Raw genomic sequence first — 18,203 nt, 5'->3', positions numbered from 1 at the left:
AGGAAGTGAAGTACACTTGGAAGAGGACCAAGCGGGCAACTTGAGAGATCGAAGAGCACCGTTTGGCCCTTGACTTGGGGTTTTTACACACTGGCATGGTTCAGAAGTTTGCATTTCTTTTCCCTTGATTTTTCTTTGGGGTGGGCTGTCTACATGTGCAGTGGCCTGACAGCACTTGGGAGGGGTCGCATGTACAGTGTGTTTACTGAAGTTGGGCACGTGCTCATTTGAGACATTTTTTCCTTACCAGTAGAGTGTTCCTAGAGGAAGGTCATATACCAGTTGAAGTCTTCTTTTTTGTCTCGTACTGTGCATGCTTGAGCCCGTTCACCCAGCTCCTGAACAAGATCTTATCAGGAAGTTGCTGACCACCAGCTTCAGGTGTTTTCTATCTATTAGGAGCCTGCCTTTCCTTGGTGCCAGCTACAACCAATTATTATTTTAGAGAGACTCTTTAACAACTGCCTGACCATCACCTGATGGTCACCTGATATTCCTGGGAGGCAGAGGGGACGGGGAGGGGGGGACCCTCTCCTGTTCTGCTCATGTTTGCTTAGCTACCTACTCTAACATTCTCATGTTTCGAAGTGATGGCTGGATCTCCAATCACTTTGGCATTGCAGGCCAGATGAAGAACAAAAGATAAAGCAAAAAACATCTCCCTCCTTAATAATTTAAATCCATAAACAGCCTTTCTAGAATTTCACATATATGTTTCTGCTGTGGTAAGTACTACTTATTACAAGGCTACAGCTAGCTACAAGGGAATCTAGGAAATACTGTCCATTGTTTTTTTTTTAATTCCAGGTGACAGTGAGACCAGATGAAATGCAACATTTTGTTATTGTAGCAGAAGCGGAAAATTGATTTTTGTTCTAGGTAACTAGAAGTTTCTGTTCTACAACCACATGGAGGTAAGATAACCAAAAATGAAGGGCTTGGATGTGGCCCTCATAAATAGAGAAAAAGGGAATGGACGGGATAGTGCTATTCCTTACAAATGTTGAACAACAAAAGAACACTCATTCTCCCTCCCCGCTATTCATGACACCACAAAGTATACCCAGTTTAGTGTTATGTGTTTATGGTGAGTTGACTTTACCAGATATTTTGCTGATAAATTTACCTCTTGAGCCAACCATATGACATAGGTACTACTTTCTCCATTTTATAGATGGAGAAGTAAACCAAGGAGTTGGCAGAGTGGCTCATGCCTGTAATCCCAGCACTTTGGGAGGCCAAGCTGGGTGGATCACTTGAGGTCAGGAGTTTGAGACCAGCCTGGCCAACATGGTGAAACCACATCTCTACTAAAGATACAAAAAATTAGCGGGGTGTGGTGGTGTACACCTGCAGTCCCAGCTACTCAGAAGGCTGAGGCAAGAGAATCACTTAAGCCTGGGAGGCAGAGGTTGCAGTGAGCCAAGATCGCGCCACTGCACTCCAGCCTAGGCAAAAGAATGAGACTCCGTCTCAAAAAAACAAAACAAAACAAAACAAAACAAAAAAAAAAACTAAACCAAGGACCTGGGATTAGAATTGGTAAAACCATGATTTGGGCCCAGACATTTAAATCCCAGAGTCTTATTTTTCACCATTGTGCTGTATTATGTTCCTTTTAAAAATACCTTTAACAGAACCAAGACCACGGTGGAATACCTGAGACTTATATGCCCTGGCACCACAAAACTCAATAGACAAAATCAGCAATATTTTTATAAAATATTTTTAAAATAAATATTAGGCAAAATTCATGATAAAATAACTATTAAAGGTATAACAGATTGAGGCAGGAAAATAAATATTCCATAATTTTTGATTTTATGACAAGAGAAAGATCGATCCCATTTCTTAAAACTTGCATGTCACCTAGAACAGCATTTCTCAATAACACCACTATTGACATTTTGGGCTAAATAAGTTTTTGTTGTGGGGCAGAGGAGTGCTGTCCTGTGCATGGTAAGATATATAACAGCAGCCCTAGATGCTGTGGATTGGGTACTGATAGCACCCTATAGAACTGTAAGAACCAAAAATGTCTCCAGACATTGCCAACTGTCCCATAGGGGACAACTTCACCATGGCTAATAACCATTGACCTATATGCATCACATTTTTTTTTCTTTTGGATTGTTAAAAATAATTTTAAGTCTCTTGAAAACTGCACACATTTTTCATAATAGTCATCCCAGAAATATGGTAAATGACTTTATTTGTGATAGGTTTATTTATACAAGCACACCAAGCGTATGTAATGAGTTCAACTTTTGCTTATTGTAATTTACATAGTCCTCTACAACTCAATTATTGGCTATTTGAAAAAGACAGAGGAGCTTAGATGAGTTGAAGTTAAATTTTTGTAATAGCACTACAGGTTAAGCATTCCTAATCTGAAAATCCCAAATTTGAAATGCACCACACCTGACCTCATGTGACAGGTCACAGTCAAAACATAGCAAAAACTTTGTTTTAACACATACAATTATTTAAAATATTGTATAAACTTACCTTCAGACTATGTGTACGAAGTGTATATAAAACTTAAATGAACTTAGGTCCCATCCCCAAGAGACCTCATTGTGTTTATGCAAATATTCCAAAATCCGAAAATAAATGAAACCCAAAACAATTCTGGTCCCAACTATTTTGGATAAGGGATACTCAACCTGTATTGTTCTCACAATAAGAAGCAATTAACTTACACATCTTTCTTACCTCAAACATTCTTGTTATTCATAAGGAGTTAAGATACCTTGCCTTCATTAAATAAGCAAACAAATGAGATACACAAAAAGTAGCAGGGAAGGGCTGAACAAGAAAGAGGAGAAAGATTATGAGGGGCATGGAGACCCCAGGATAGTACACAGGTGCACATAATCATTCCTACTTGTGTGATGGTAAGAATCCAAATGGGGGTGAAGGATAAAAGACTACAAATTGGGTTCAGTATATACTGCTCGAGTGATAATGGGTGCACCAAAATCTCACAAATCTCCACTAAATAAGTTACTCATGTAACCAAATACCACTTGTTCTCCAAAAACCTATGGAAATAAAAAATTAACAAACAAACAAACAAACAAATGTAAATGGACTTTGGAGCCTCACTGATCTTGCTTTGAATCTTGACTCCTTCTTTTATTAACTGTATGATGTTGGCTAAGTTACTAATTTCTTTGCAAAGTACGCTTAATAATTTAAGCCTCTTATGGGGTCTATGGATATTAATTAAGGGAAAAGTATCTAGAACTGTGCCAGATAAGCAATGCATATTAGTTTCCATTATCTTTTTCTGTTTATGTTTAGATGATTTATTTCTTCATTTGGTTTATAATACATATTCATAAGCTCCTGAAACCTAGGAATGTGATACAGGGCAACATGTTTTCTATGCAAAATTTCACTGCAACAAAATAATGCAGGTGGGCCATGAAGTTGGTCTTGTTTGTGCTTCTTTGATCCTTACGTTTCCCTGTAATTCATCAATTCCTGAGTACAATTGCCCTGTTCCCGAGACCACTGAGATAAGTAGATTTGATACCAAATGATTATATCAGACTTCCAGAAATCAGGTTGGTGGGGTGAGCTGCCTCAATATTAATGTTTGCGTTAAAATAAAACTACCCCATCCCTAGTTTAGATAATACTAAATTTGTATTTTTTGTTACATAAAATTAAAATGATAGGTAAATATTATTTATAAAAATATTTGATGTTTTTCACAATGAATGTCTCAATGGCCCATTTTTTTTCCTTTTCTCATATTGAGATATCATTAAGTTATCCCTAAAGTGTTCTTTAGAGACTTTCGATGGGAAATAACTCTTCTGTGTAGCATCCATCTTTTTGCAGTTTTTTTACACACTTTTCACTTAATGTTGAATATTGTAAGCCAACGTTATTTGACAATGTCTATCATTCTCTTTTCAGATCCTCTTTTTGAAGTAAAAATAGTGAAATAGCTTTCTTTTTAATAATGCACTTAATTTTTTTTTTTTTTTTGAGACAGGCTCTCTCACTTGGTTACCCAGACTGGAGTGAAGTGGTGGGAACACGGCTCACTGTAGCCTCAACCTCCTGGGTGCAAGTGATCTTCCTGCCTTAGCCCCCCAAGTAGCTGGGATGACAGGGGCTCCACCATGCCTGGCTAATTTTTCTATATTTTGTAGAGACAAGGTTTCACCATGTTTCGCAGGCTGAAATACACTTTTTCAAAATAAAAAATTATGCTATTTCCATGAATAAAGAGATTTCACAGAATGGCTAAAACATCTAGCAATTAAAATAATACTATTTCTCCACAACGTTCAATTTAAATAACCCGTCAAACTCCTTTCAGTGAACTTAAATTATTCACAAACAAGGAATTTTTAAAACCACATTTATTGAAGGAAACCATAAATAAGAAGCTCAATTTCGTTGTGTATCCAATGCATTTAATGAATCTACAAAGTGTAGATAGCTATTTCACTTGGGTTTTTGCTGCATGAGAGACTATAAAATGCACATCAAAAATACTCCCCAGGACAATCAGAAGAATTTTATTATTGGAAACGAGAGAGAACACTGTCCTAGAACCTTAGATGAGTAGTGCATGAAACAATACAAAAGCAGAGATATTACTACTTTCTGTTGCAAGTTGGGCAATCAGTGAAGCAGACTCTAGGATGAAAGTTAACATGGAGGAGGATTCTTAGGAAGCACTCTTGGGATCAACACCTGTGGAAATGAAGAGAAAGAGGCAGGATTTGGCAGAGGAAGATGTTGGGCTGTGATGCAGTCACAACGAAGGCCGTTAGCCAACCATATTGAATCAAGGGTGGTCCTTAACAGTTTTTAAGAATTAAAGGAGAAGACAGAGCCTTTACATTCTTATGTCCAGTAGTTATGACCTTGGGCAAGATAGCACTCCTCAGCAGAGGCAATTCAGAAGAGGGCTGATAGCTGAGGTCTGGATGCCAGTGGCACACTCAGAAACTGCGGCGATATGTACTTTATTCCTGAAGGAGAATCTAGGTGGCACATCTTAGTATTTACTGCTGCTGTACTGTTTTTTCCTTTCATATATTTAGATTCAGGGAGTACATGTGCAGGTTTGTTATATGGGTATATTACATGATGCTGAGGTTTGGGTTTCTAGTGATCTGTTCACCCAAGTTGCAAACATAGTACTTGATGGGTAGATTTTCAACCTTTGGCCCCCTCTTTCTCTCCCTCTTTTGGAAGCTCTGGTGTCTATTTTCCCATCTGTGTCCCTGTGTGCCCAGTGATTGACTCCCACTTGTAAGTAAGAACATGTGCTATTTGGCTTTCTGTTTCTGCATTAATTCGCTTAGGATGGTGACCTTCAGCTGCATCCATGTTGCTGCAAAGACCATGATTTTATTCTTTTTTATGGCTGCATAGTATTCCGTGGTGTATATGTAGCACATTTTCTTTATCCAGTCCATCACTGATGGGCACCTAGGTGGATTCCATGTCTTTGCTATTGTGAATAATGCTGCAATGACTACATGAGTACATGTGTCTTTTTGGTAGAATGATTTATTTTCCTTTGGTTGTATACCCAGTAATGGGATGACTAGGTTGAATGGTAATTCTATTTTTAGTTCTTTGAGAAATCTCCAGACTGCTTTCCACAGCAGCTGAACTAATTTGCATTCCCACCAACAGTGTATAAAGTGTTCCCTTTTATTTTCAACTTCACCAACATCTGCATATTTTGACTTTTTAATAATAGCCATTCTGACTGGTGTGAGATGGTATCTCATTGTGGTTTTGATTTGCATCTCTCTGATGATTAACCATGTTGAGCATTTTTTCACGTTTGTTGGCTGCTTGCTTGTATGTCTTCTTTTGAGAAGTGTCTGTTCATGTCCATTGCCTATGAGGTTATTTGGGTTGTTTTCTTATTTGTCTGAATTCCTTATGGATTTTGGATACTGTCCATTGTTGAATGCATAGTTTGTAAAAATTTTCTCCCATTCCATAAATTGTTTACTCTGTTGATAGTTTCTTTGTTGTGCAGAGGCTCATTATACAATACTATGAAATAAATTCTTAAAAACCATGATTAATGTCTCCAAGAAAGAAAATAAGCTGGTTGAAAAACAAAGCCACGAATATAGAATTACCTATTTTTAAAGGTATTAATGGCTGCTACTGTTGGCCAGCTGAAACATTTAGCAGATGGAGACACTAAGATATCAGTATGTAAATGGTTTTGTCCTGGGTCAAGGTGTTGGTCTGTGTAGACTCAGGCCTTTATGCCCTCTTGTTCTTTTCCCTATAATACTCTGTACAGGGTGCTTCCCTCTTGTTCTCTAATACATTTCTTTCCTTCCCTCCCTCTTTCTTTCTCTCTCTTTGACCGAGTAGAGTCTTGCTCTGTTGCTCAGACTGGAGTGGCATGGTGTGACCTTGGCTCACTCCTACCTCTGCCTCCCAGGTTCAGGCAATTCTCCTTACACAGCCTCCTGAGTAGTTGGGATTAAGGTGTGTGTCACCACACCAGGCTAATTTTTGAATTTTTAGTAGAGACAGGGGTTCACCATGTTGGCCAGGCTGGTCTCTAACACCTGGCCTCAAGTTTTCCACCTGCCTCAGCCTCCCAAAGTGCTGATTACAGGTGTGAGCCACTGCACCTGGCCTCTAATAAATTTATTTCTTAGTGGTCCTGGATAAAAGTGATCTGTAAAAGTTGGAGAAAAATAACATATACATGACATATAATATAAACGTAACATAACATATATGTAAAATAACATATATACAAAAACCATAAACATTTGGGGAATTGAATGCCTATAGTTACACTGTCAAACCCTAACAAATTTCCAACCTTTCCAAAAGTGCTTTGATTACATCTACTTCTTCCTTTATCCTGCTCAGTGGAGAGGGATAGGTAGTAGTGCGAAAATGGGAAGTTATCTCTTTTTGGTTGCCCTGAGGTGTCAGAGTCAGGGAAACTGCTAGCACCACAATGATAAGCCCTGTGCTCAGCCCCAATCTTGGAAGATCCACTGTATGGCCATACCGGAACTGTATTTATCTGGATTGTTAGACATAGATGATAACAGCGAAGTTGGGTCACATTCCCTTATTGCCTGTGGATTTAAGTCCTTTCTAAGTTCTACCCCGAGAAGCATTTCCTGGTATTGCACTAATGGATTACCCAGGACACTAGAGGATCTCTGCCAAAAAATGTAAGATCGCTTATCTCAGCCTAAGTAGTCAATCTATTTCCATGTTTACATTTGAACTCAGTCTCTGAAATCAAAACACTCAACAAAAGAAATGGAGATGTGACTATTCTAACCTCTTCACCAAAGATAAACCAAAGATTGAAAACAGTTGTAGATCTCTCAAAGTATGAAATACTATCAATAGTATATTCACCATTGGCTACTGTACAAGTTTCAGGTTGGGCCAATGGAGAAGGTAGAATGTTCACAGACTTGCCTTCTAGCTGCCTAGATCGTGTCCTGCCATCTATATTGCACTTACCAGCCCACATATCCACTGTTGAATCAAATCTCAATAACTGTTGGTAACCAGGTCAGCAACACTGCTGCCCCTACTAGACACTGCAATTGTGTTCCACAAGTATGCAAGTTGTTAAGGATGTTGGGCCATTACAAATGACACTGACTAGGCAGGGTGGAGCCAGGACCCATTCACACCAGAGAGCCTGACCCGTTATAAAATACAGAGCTGTAGGAGAAGATATTTGAAGTGTAAGTCTGTAATTTCTGTTTTGCTCTTAGTGTCTCTAGTGTCACAGTCCTGTGGCAATGTTTAGCCTTTTAAAAATTTAGTCACACATATGATCTGAATCCTTTTGCCCCCATCAAAATACCTTGAAATTAAATGTGGTATGAGAAATATATGAGTTAAAGGTGCTACCCCAGTCAAAACTTATCTAGAAGGGCTATCCATGGTTAATTCTAAGGCAGGAGTCATCCTACCTAAATGGATAGGTCAATCAGATTTTTCAAATTGAATGATGAGGTAATTTTTATGCTACCATCCTAGGTCGAAGACCAATAAGTAAGATGCCCAAGCAGAGTGCTGAGTTTGGCAAACTGAGCACACAGAAATTGTTAAATTTAAGTTCCACAAATTCTGTCGCTTCTACTAATTTAATTACAAGGTCTTTCTTGGCAGGTGATAGTTTGATCCACATTTACCATTATTCAGCACATTTCTTGAATTGTATTTCTATTTACCGAGGCTTGTTTCTGGAGGTAAGAGAGAAATTCAAGTAAAATGCATCTGCTTCTAACACTGCTTACTCCCAGAGACTCTTTCCAAAAGTCAAAATCAAGTGGCCCAAGTCTTGAATTTCGCCACATCGATTCAGCAGATATGTTGGCTAATTAAATTTTAGAATGCAGATAAAGAAAGTGAGTATCAAAATGGATCCTAAAATCCTCCAGTCATCTCTCTGGCAGGTACATTAGAAGAAAATTTAGTAAATGCGTGCTCCTACGGTCCTTAAATTCAACCTGTTTGTGATAATGGAAGCGTAAGCAGTAGAAGATGAGCATTTTAACACTGACATCTTGATTCCCCCAAAGCCTGAGATTCTGAGTCCTAAGATTTCATCTTTGATTTGAGGCAACCTGTCACGGTGAAAACACTACCAGAATATTAAAATCCTGCCTTCTCTGCAGTAGAGCATCCAAAAATACTCATGTCTACTTCAGTGCTTCATAAATGCTCCTAATATTTATATAAAATATAGCTATTTTATATTAATTCATATAAAACATAACTATTTTATATAGTTCATATAAAATACAACTATATAATTCATATATAATACATTTTATATAGTTCATATAAAACACAAGTATTTTATATAGTTCATATAAAACAACAATTTTATATAATTCATATAAAGTTAAATACTAGAATGCCTTTAGAATTATAATTCTGTAATAATAAATATTATATAAAAATAAACACTTCATAGATTCTAGATTTTGTTCCCAATTCTGTTCCCAAACTCTTTGTTTTTGTTTTAAAATTTCTTTTATTTATTTATTTACTTATTTCAATAGGTTTTTGGGGAACAGGTGGTATTTGATTACATGAATAAGTTATTTAGTGGGGATTTCTGATATTTTAGTGCACCCATCACCCAAGCAGTGTACACTGTACCCAATATGTAGTCTTATCCCTCACTACACCCACCCTTTTCCCAGAGTCCCCAAAGTCCATTTTATCATTCTCATGCCTTCACGTCCCCATAGCTTAGCTCCTACTTATGAGTGAGAACATACGATGTTTGGTTTTCCATTCCTGAGTTGTTTCAGTTAGACTAATGGTCTCCAATTCCATAGACGTTGCTGCAAATGCCATTATTTCATTCCTTTTATGGCTGAGTAGTATTCCATCATATATATATATATATATATATATATATATATATATATATATATATATAAAATATACATATCACATTTTCTTTATCTGCTTGTTGATTGATGGGCATTTGGGCTCATTCCACATTTTTGCAATTGTGAATTGTACTGCTATGAACGTGTGTGCAAGTACCTTTTTTGTATAATGACTTCTTTTGCTCTGGGTAGATACCCAGGAGTAGGATTGCTGGATCAAATGGTAGATCTACTTTTAGTTACTTAAGAAATCTCCACACTGTTTTCCATAGTGGATGTACTAGTTTCCATTCCAACCAACAGTGTAAAAGTGTTCCCTTTTCACCACATCCACACCAGCATCTATTTTTTTATTATGGCCACTCTTGCTATCACATTGTGGTTTTGATTTGCATTTCCTTGATCAATCATGATGTTTAATATTTTTTAATATTTTTGTTGGCCACTTGTATATTATTTGTATTGTCTATTCATGTCCTTAGCCCACTTTTTGATGGGATTGCTTCTTTTCTTGCTAATTTGTATGAGTCCCTTGTAGATTCTGGATATTAGTCCTTTGTCAGAAGCACAGATTGCTATAATTTTCTCTCACTCTCTGGGTTGTCTGTTTACTCTTAAGATATGTCCCTTCTATGCCAATTTTGCTGAGGGTTTTAATCATAAAGTGATGCTGAATTTTGTCAAATGCTTTTTCTGTACCTATTGAGATGATCATGTGATTTTTGTTTTTAATTCCGTTTCTGTGGTGTACCACATTTATTGACTCGTGTATGTTAAACCATCCCCACATCCCTGGTATGAAACCCAGTTGATCATGGTGGATTATCTTTTTGATATACTGTTGGATTCAGTTAGCTAGTATTTTGTTGAGGATTTGTATATCAATGTTCATCAGGGATACTGGTCTGTAGTTTTCTTTCTTATATCCTATCCTGGTTTTAGTATTAGGGTGACAGTGGCTTCACAGAAAGTTCTAGGGAGGATTCCCTCTTTCTCTTTTGGAATACTGTCGATAGGATTGGTACCAATTCATCTTTGAATGTCTGATAGAATTCAGCTATGAATCCATCTGGTACTGGAGTTTTTTATTGTTGGCAAGTTTTAAATTACCATTTCAATCTTGCCGCTTGTTATTGGTTTGTTCAGAGTCTCTATTTCTTCCTGGTTTAATCTAGGAGAGTTGTATATTTCCAAGAATTTATCCATCTCCTCTACGTTTTCTAGTTAATGCGTGTAAAGGTATTCATAGTAGCCTTAAATGATCGTTTGTATTGCCATTGTATTGGTTTTAATATCAACTGTTTCATTTCTAATTGAGATTATTTGGACCCTCTCTTTTTTCTTGTTAATTTCACTAATGATTTATCAAGTTTATGTATCTTTTCAATAACTAGCTTTTCATTTCATTTATCTTTTGTATTTTTTTCAATTTCATTTAGTTCAGCTCTGATCTTAGTTATTTCTTTTCTTCTGCTGGATTTGCGTTTGGTTTGTTCTTATTTCTCTAGTTCCTTGAGGTGTGACTTTAGACTATTTGTGCTCTTTCAGACTTTTTGATGTAGGCATTTAATGCTATGAACTTTCTTCTTGGCACTGCTTTTGCTGTATCCCAGATGTTTTTTATAGGTTTTGTCCCTATTATTCTGTTCAAATAATTTTTTTTTAATTTTCAAATTGATTTCATTGTTGACCCAATGATAATTCAGGAACAGGTTATTTAATTTCCAAGTATTTGCATAGTTTTGAGGGTTCCTTTTCGAGTTGATTTCCAATTTTATTCCATTGTGATCTGAGAGAGTACTTGATATAATTTCGATTTTCTTAAATTTGTTGAGACCTGTTTTGTGCCTATGATATTGTCTATCTTGAAGAATGTTCCATGTGTTGATGAATAGAATGTATATTCTGAAGTTGTTGGGTAGAATGTTCTGTAAATATCTGTTAAGTCCATTTGTTCTAGGGTATAGTTTAAGTCCATTGTTTCTTTGTTGACTTTGTCTTGATGACCTGTCTGGTGCTATCAGTGGAGTACTGAAGTCCCCTGCTATTATTGTGTTACTGTCCTATTTTACTAGTCCAATAGGAAAATTGATATATTTTATCAATATATGATATTCCTCTTTGACTTTTTTAACTGCTGTTGCTTTAAAGTTTGTTTTGTCTGATGTAAGAATAGCTACTTCTGCTTGCTTTTGGTGTCTGTTTGCATGGAATATCTTTTTCCACCCCTTTACCTTAGGTTTATGTGAGTCCTTATGTATCAGGGAAGTCTTGAAGACAGCAGATACTTGGTTGGTGAATTCTTATCCCTTCTGCCATTCTGTATCTTTTAAGTGAAGCATTTAGGCCATTTACATTCAATGTTAGTATTGAGATGTGCGGTACTATTCTATTCATCATGCTATTTGTTGCCTGAATAGGTCCTGTGAGATTTATGCTTTAAGGAGATTCTATTTTGGTGTATTTCTAGGATTTGTTTCAAGATTTAGAGCTGCTTTTAGCAGTTCTTATAGTGCTAGCTTGGTAGTGGCAAATTCTCTCAGGATTTGTTTGTCTGAAAAAGACTGTATCTTTCCATCATTTATGAAGCTTAGTTTCACTGGATACAAAATTGTATCCAGTGGCTGACAATTGTCAGTTAAAACTGGCTGACAATTGTTTTAAGGAGGATAAAGATAGGACCCCAATCACTCCTAGCTTGTAGGATTTCTGCTGAGAAATCTGCTGTTAATCTGATAGGTTTTCCTTAATAAGTTACTTGATGCTTTTGCCTCACAGCTCTTAAGATTCTTTCCTTCGTCTTGACTTTAGTTAACCTGATGACTACATGCCTAGGCAATTATCTTTTTGTGATAAATTTCCCAGATGTTCTTTGAGCCTCTTGCATTTAGTCTAGATCTCTAGCAAGGCCAGGAGTTTTCACTGATTATTCCCGCAAACATGTTTTTCAAACTTTTAGATTTACCTTCTTCCTTGGGAATACCAATTATTTGTAGATTTGGTCATTTGGTCATAATCCCAATTTCTTGGAGGTTTTGTTCAACTTTTTAATTTTTTTGTCTTTTTTTTGGATTGGTTTAATTTGAAAACCTTGTCTTTGAGCTCTGAAGTTCTTTCTTCTACTTGTTTGATTCTATTGCTGAGACTTTCCAGTGCATTTTGCATTTCTCTAAGTGTGTCCTTGATTTCCAGAAGTTGTGATTTTTTATTTATGCTATCTGTTTCACTGGAGATTTTCCATTCATATCCTATATCATTTTTTTCATTGCTTTAAGTTGGACTTCACCTTTCTCTGGTGCCTCCTTGATTAGCTTAATCATCAGCTTGAATACTTTTTCTGGCAATTCAGAGATTTTTGTCTTGGTTTGGAGCCATTGCTGGTGAGCTAGTATGATCTTTTGGGGGTGTTAAAGAACCTTGTTTGTCATATTAGAATAATTGTTGTTCTGGTTCCTTCTCATTTGCGTGGACTATGTCGGAAGGAATATCTGGGACTCAAGGACTGCTGTTCAGATTCTTTTGTCCCATGGGGTTCTCCCTTGATGTGATGCTCTCTCCCTTCTCCTAGGGATGGGGCTTCCTGAGAGCTGAACTGCAGTGATTTTTATTTGTCTTCTGGATCTAGCCACCCAATGGACCTACTTGGTTATGGGCTGGTACTGGGGAGTGTCTGCAAAGAGTCTTGTGATGTGATCCATCTTCAGGTCTCTGAGCTGTGGATACCAGCAGTTGCTTTGGTGGAGGTAGCAGTGGGGTGAAGTGGACTCTGTGAGGGTCCTTGGTTGTATTTTTGTTTGGTGCACTGGTCTTCTGTTAGTTGGCCTCCAGCCAGGAGGTGGCAGTTTCAAAAGCATATCAGCTGTGGTAATATAAAGAGGATCAGGCAGTGGGTGGGGCCACAGAGCTCCCAAGAGATTAAGTCCTTTGTCTTCGGCCACGAGGGTAGGCAGAGAAAGATCAACAGGTGAGGACAGGGTTAGGTGTGTCTGAGCTCAGACTCTCGGGGGGACTTGCTGTGGCTTCTGTGGAGGATGGAAGTGTGGTTCCCATGCCAATAGAGTTGTGTTCCCAGGGGGATTATGGCTGCCTTTACTGCATCACACAGGTCACCAGGGAAGTGGGGGAAAGCCAGTAGCCATAGGCCTCACCCGCTCCCACATAGCCCACAGCCTGAAAGGCCTGTCTCACTCCCATCTTGCCCCTCCAACAGCACCTGGTTTATTTCCAGGCAGCCAGTGAGCAGGGCTGAGAACTTGCCTCAGGCTACAAGCCTCCCAGCTGAGAAAGCAAGCCGACTCACAGTTCCTCTGCTGTCCCACTCTGCAGCAGCAAGCCACTTCCTTCAAAGGGTTTGTGGATTCTCTCAGCTTCCCTGGTATGTTCCTGCAAAAGGTCACAATGTAAGTCTCCACATGATGCTCTGTCCATCAAGTTGGAGCTGCAAGTTAGTCCTGCCTCCTTCCTCCATTTTTTTCTATCCCCTGTCCCCAGACTCTTGTATGAACTGGAAAACTCTGTTTTTATCTGTAAAATGAGGAGGCAGAATCAGATGATAACTAGGACGCCTGACCTTTAACAAAATCAACAATTCTACATTTATAGGAGAAAATGAAACAGTTTTAAGACCAAAGTTTTATATCTTCCTGTTATCAGCTTTTTAATTTATGTTTTCCCTCTTATTGTCACCAACTAAGTACAAGTCATCATCTCTTGATTAAAATTACATTAATAAATTTCTAACTTCCCTATGTATGTTCATGATTCTAGCTATACCTCATTTTCAACTCCTCTTTACCTGCAGCAGAATCCATTGCTCTTAGGTTTGTTCAAAAGCCTTAAGAAAATGTGGCACATATACACTGTGGAATACTATGCAGCCACAAAAAAGCATGAGTTCATGTCCTTTGTAGGGACATGGATGAAGCTGGAAACCATCATTCTCAGCAACCTATCACAAGGACAAAAAACCAAACACCGCATGTTCTCACTCATAGGTGGGAATTGAACAATGAGAACACTTGGACACAGGAAGGGGAACATCACACACCAGGGCCTGTCTGGGGATGGAGGGAGGGATAGCATTAGGAGAAATACCTAATGTAAATGACGAGTTGGTGGGTGCAGCACACCAACACGGCACATGTATACATATGTAACAAACCCGCACGTTGTGCACATGTACCCTAGAACTTAAAGTATAATAATAATAAAAGCCTTAACATAACCAGAAGATTAAGTATAAGCTAGGTCCTCCCCGAGATATAAATCTCATTTTTCACCATACTTCCATTGTGATGCTTAGTTTCATGTAACAATTTGACTGAGTTAAATGATGCCCAGATAGTGGGTAAAACATTATTTCCGGGTGTGACTGTGAAGGTGTTTCTGGAAAAGATTAATATTTGAATCAGTAGACTGAGTAAAGAAGATCTGCCCTAAACAATGTAGGTGAGTATCATACAATCCATCAAGGCTTGGATAGAACCAAAAGGTGTAGGAAAGTCAAATTACTCTCTCTCTCCTTGAGCTGGAACATCCATTTTCTCTTTTCCCTTCCTCATTGGAGCTCCTGGTTTTCATGCGTTCTGACTCTGAGACTTAACCCTTCCTCCCCCACCTCTTCCTCAATTCTTGTGCCTTCAGCATCAGACTGGGAGTTTCTCCATTAACTCCCCTAGTTCTCAGGCATTCTAACTGAGACTAAATCATACAGTCAGGTTTCCTGTTTCTCCAGCTTGCCAGGTGACATACTGTGGGACTTCTTGGCCTCCATAATTGCATAAGTCAATTCCCGTAATAAATCTTATATATCTATATGTATATTTCCTGTTGGTTCTATTTCTCTGAAGAACACTGACTAACACAGCTATCAAGCACTTCATTCAAATGTACTGGGACTCTTTCCCACCTCAGAGTCTTCTTACACTCACCATCATACCTTCTCATTAAGATGCTCACTGTAACTCCCATCTCTTCTTTTACTTCTCACTTTAAATTAATGCACTACCTCAGAAGTAAGCATTAGATGTCCTAGATGAGTTTTCTTTGATATAGCCTGCCTAAATATCCTATATTTTGCTTTACAACATTCATTGTAGTACTAATTGAAGGTATTTGGTGGGATTTTTTTTTTATATTTGTTTCCCTCAAAAGGTTGTTTATTTTGGTAACTTTCATCTACTCTGGGTCAGGCACAATTTCTAGCACAAAAGAACCGTTTGAAAATTAGTTGTGAAGATTGAAATATCTCTATTTCCCTGGTGTAATTCAATCCTGATACCCTTTTTCATACTCCCTTCATTTTTTAAATTTTACATAGTGCCCATGGATATAAGAAAAATACACGTGATATTAGATATCATGTAATGTGATTTAAATTACTAAGCTCAAGCTCTTTACCTTTGAAAAATATGCGCTATAATATAGTAGTGCATTTTTCAAAGGTAAAGACATATTATATGCTTTAAATATGTATGATACAATTAAACAAAACAGAAAAAGAAAAAAAAAAGAAAAATGCACTGTTCCAAATTTTCTCAGCCTACACTACTCAGCATATACATGAGTCATGTCTAATGCACAGCCTTTGCAAAATATCTGTAGTTAGCATGTGCACATCTTATAGCTTCCATCAATCAGTATTGGAAAGCAAGGAAAGAAATAGAATTTCTTCCAATCAAATTTATTCATGTGATTCATTAATGATTTGTCTTTAGAGAGTCTTCATGCACTAGCACCTTTGTATAGGAAAAGGCAAGATGTGCTTCTGAGCCAAGCAAATAAAAAAAACACGGAAATGATCTGTTCCATTGGTCTATATCTCTGTTTTGGTACCAGTACCATGCTGTTTTGGTTACTGTAGGCTTGTAGTATAGTTTGAAGTCAGGTAGCGTGATGCCTCCAGCTTTGTTCTTTTGGCTTAGGATTGACTTGGCAATGAGGGCTCTTTTTTGGTTCCATATGAACTTTGAAGTAGTTTTTTCCAATTCTATGAAGAAAGTCATTGGTAGCTTGATGGGAATGGCATTAAATCTATAAATTACCTTGGGCAGTATGTCCATTTTCACGATATTGATTCTTCCTATCCATGAGCGTGGAATGCTCTCAGAAATAATACCACACACCTACAACTATCTGATCTTTGACAAACCTGACAAAAACAAGAAATGGGGAAAGGATTCCCTATTTAACAAATGGAGCTGGGAAAACTGGCTAGCCATATGTAGAAAGCTGAAACTGGATTCCTTCCTTACACCTTATACAAAAATTAACTCAAGATGGATTAAAGACTTAAATGTTAGACCTAAACCATAAAACCCCTAGAAGAAAACCTAGGCAATACCATTCAGGACATAGGCATGGGCAAGGACTTCATGTCTAAAACACCAAAAGCAATGGCAACACAAGCCAAAATTAACAAATGGGATCGAATTAAACTAAAGAGCTTCTGCACAGCAAAAGAAACTGCCATCAGAGTGAACAGGCAACCTACAGAATGGGAGAAAATTTTTTCAATCTACTCATCTGACAAAGGACTAATATCCAGAATCCACAAAGAACTCAAACAAATTTACAAGAAAAAAACAACCCCATTAAAAAGTGGGCAAAGGATATGAATAGACACTTCTCAAAAGAAGACATTTATGCAGCCAACAGACACACGAAAAAATGCTCATCATCACTGGCCATCAGAGAAATGCAAATCAAAACCACAATGAGATACCATCTCACACCAGTTAGAATGGCGATCATTCAAAAGTCAGGAAGCAACAGGTGCTGGAGAGGTTGTGGAGAAATAGGAACACTTTTACACTGTTGGTGGGTCTGTAAAGTAGTTCAACCATTGTGGAAGTCAGTGTGACGATTCCTCAGGGATCTAGAACTAGAAATACCATTTGACCCAGCCATCCCATTACTGGGTATATACCCAAACGAATATAAATCCTGCTGCTATAAAGACACATGCACATGTATGTTTATTGTGGCACTATTCACAATAGCAAAGACTTGGAACCAAGCCAAATGTCCAACAATGATAGACTGGATTAAGAAAATGTGGCACATATACACCATGGAATACTATGCAGCCATAAAAAAGGATGAGTTCATGTCCTTTGTAGGGACATGGATGAAGCTGGAAACCATCATTCTCAGCAAACTATTGCAAGGACAAAAAACCAAACACCGCATGTTCTCACTCATAGGTGGGAATCGAACAATGAGAACACTTGGACACAGGAAGGGGAACATCACACACCATGGCCTGTTGTGGGGTGGGGGGTGGGGCGAGGGATAGCATTAGGAGATATACCTAATGTAAATGACGAGTTGATGGGTGCAGCACACCAACATGGCACATGTATACATATGTAACAAACCTGCACGTTGTGCACATGTACCCTAGAACTTAAAGTATAATAAAAAATATATATAAAAATAAAAATAAAAAATACGGAAATGAGACAACAGTGAAGGTTTGCATAGGGATTTACAAAGGATCTTTGTGGATTTACAAAAACAGATTTCTTTACACATATCAAATAATACAAAACAAATTGTATTCTTTTTGAATGTAAAATAAGTGAAAATATGTAAGTCATTTTCCATTCAAATTTATCATAGGATTCTTATTCTGTAATGCAGAGGCTCATTTGTACCAAGACTTACTCATCTGTAGAACTGTCATTTTAGGGTTTGAGGTGGAAGCAGGAAGAGCAAGGCAACCATTTTCAGTTTTCCTCCATCTCTTCGTCTTTCTCCTCCCCTTCCTCCTCCTTCTCCTTCTAGGAAAGAAGCAGA

The 18,203-nt window shown here is 37.8% G+C and overlaps 2 long non-coding RNA genes across 2 annotated transcripts in view; one reads left to right on the top strand and one right to left on the bottom strand.

Annotated features, from left to right (window-relative positions):
* Positions 1–4,414: 4,414 nt before the first annotated feature.
* LOC105370261 (uncharacterized) lies at positions 4,415–18,187 on the bottom strand. Its single transcript, XR_942092.3, has 3 exons — positions 18,072–18,187; positions 13,705–13,787; positions 4,415–4,719 (listed from the first exon to the last, which is right to left on the bottom strand). It is a non-coding gene; the product is annotated as an uncharacterized LOC105370261 (long non-coding RNA).
* LOC105370262 (uncharacterized) overlaps positions 14,778–18,203 on the top strand; it is a 41,390-nt gene continuing 37,964 nt past the window's right edge. The window contains exon 1 of the long non-coding RNA XR_942093.3: positions 14,778–14,852. This is a non-coding gene — a long non-coding RNA (uncharacterized LOC105370262). The remainder of the gene's footprint in view (positions 14,853–18,203) is intronic.

The sequence above is a fragment of the Homo sapiens genome, chromosome 13 (genome assembly GCF_000001405.40).
Source record: "Homo sapiens chromosome 13, GRCh38.p14 Primary Assembly".
NCBI lineage: Eukaryota > Metazoa > Chordata > Mammalia > Primates > Hominidae > Homo > Homo sapiens.
Note: the sequence above shows the minus strand (reverse complement) of the source record. Positions and strands in the feature narration are given on the sequence as shown.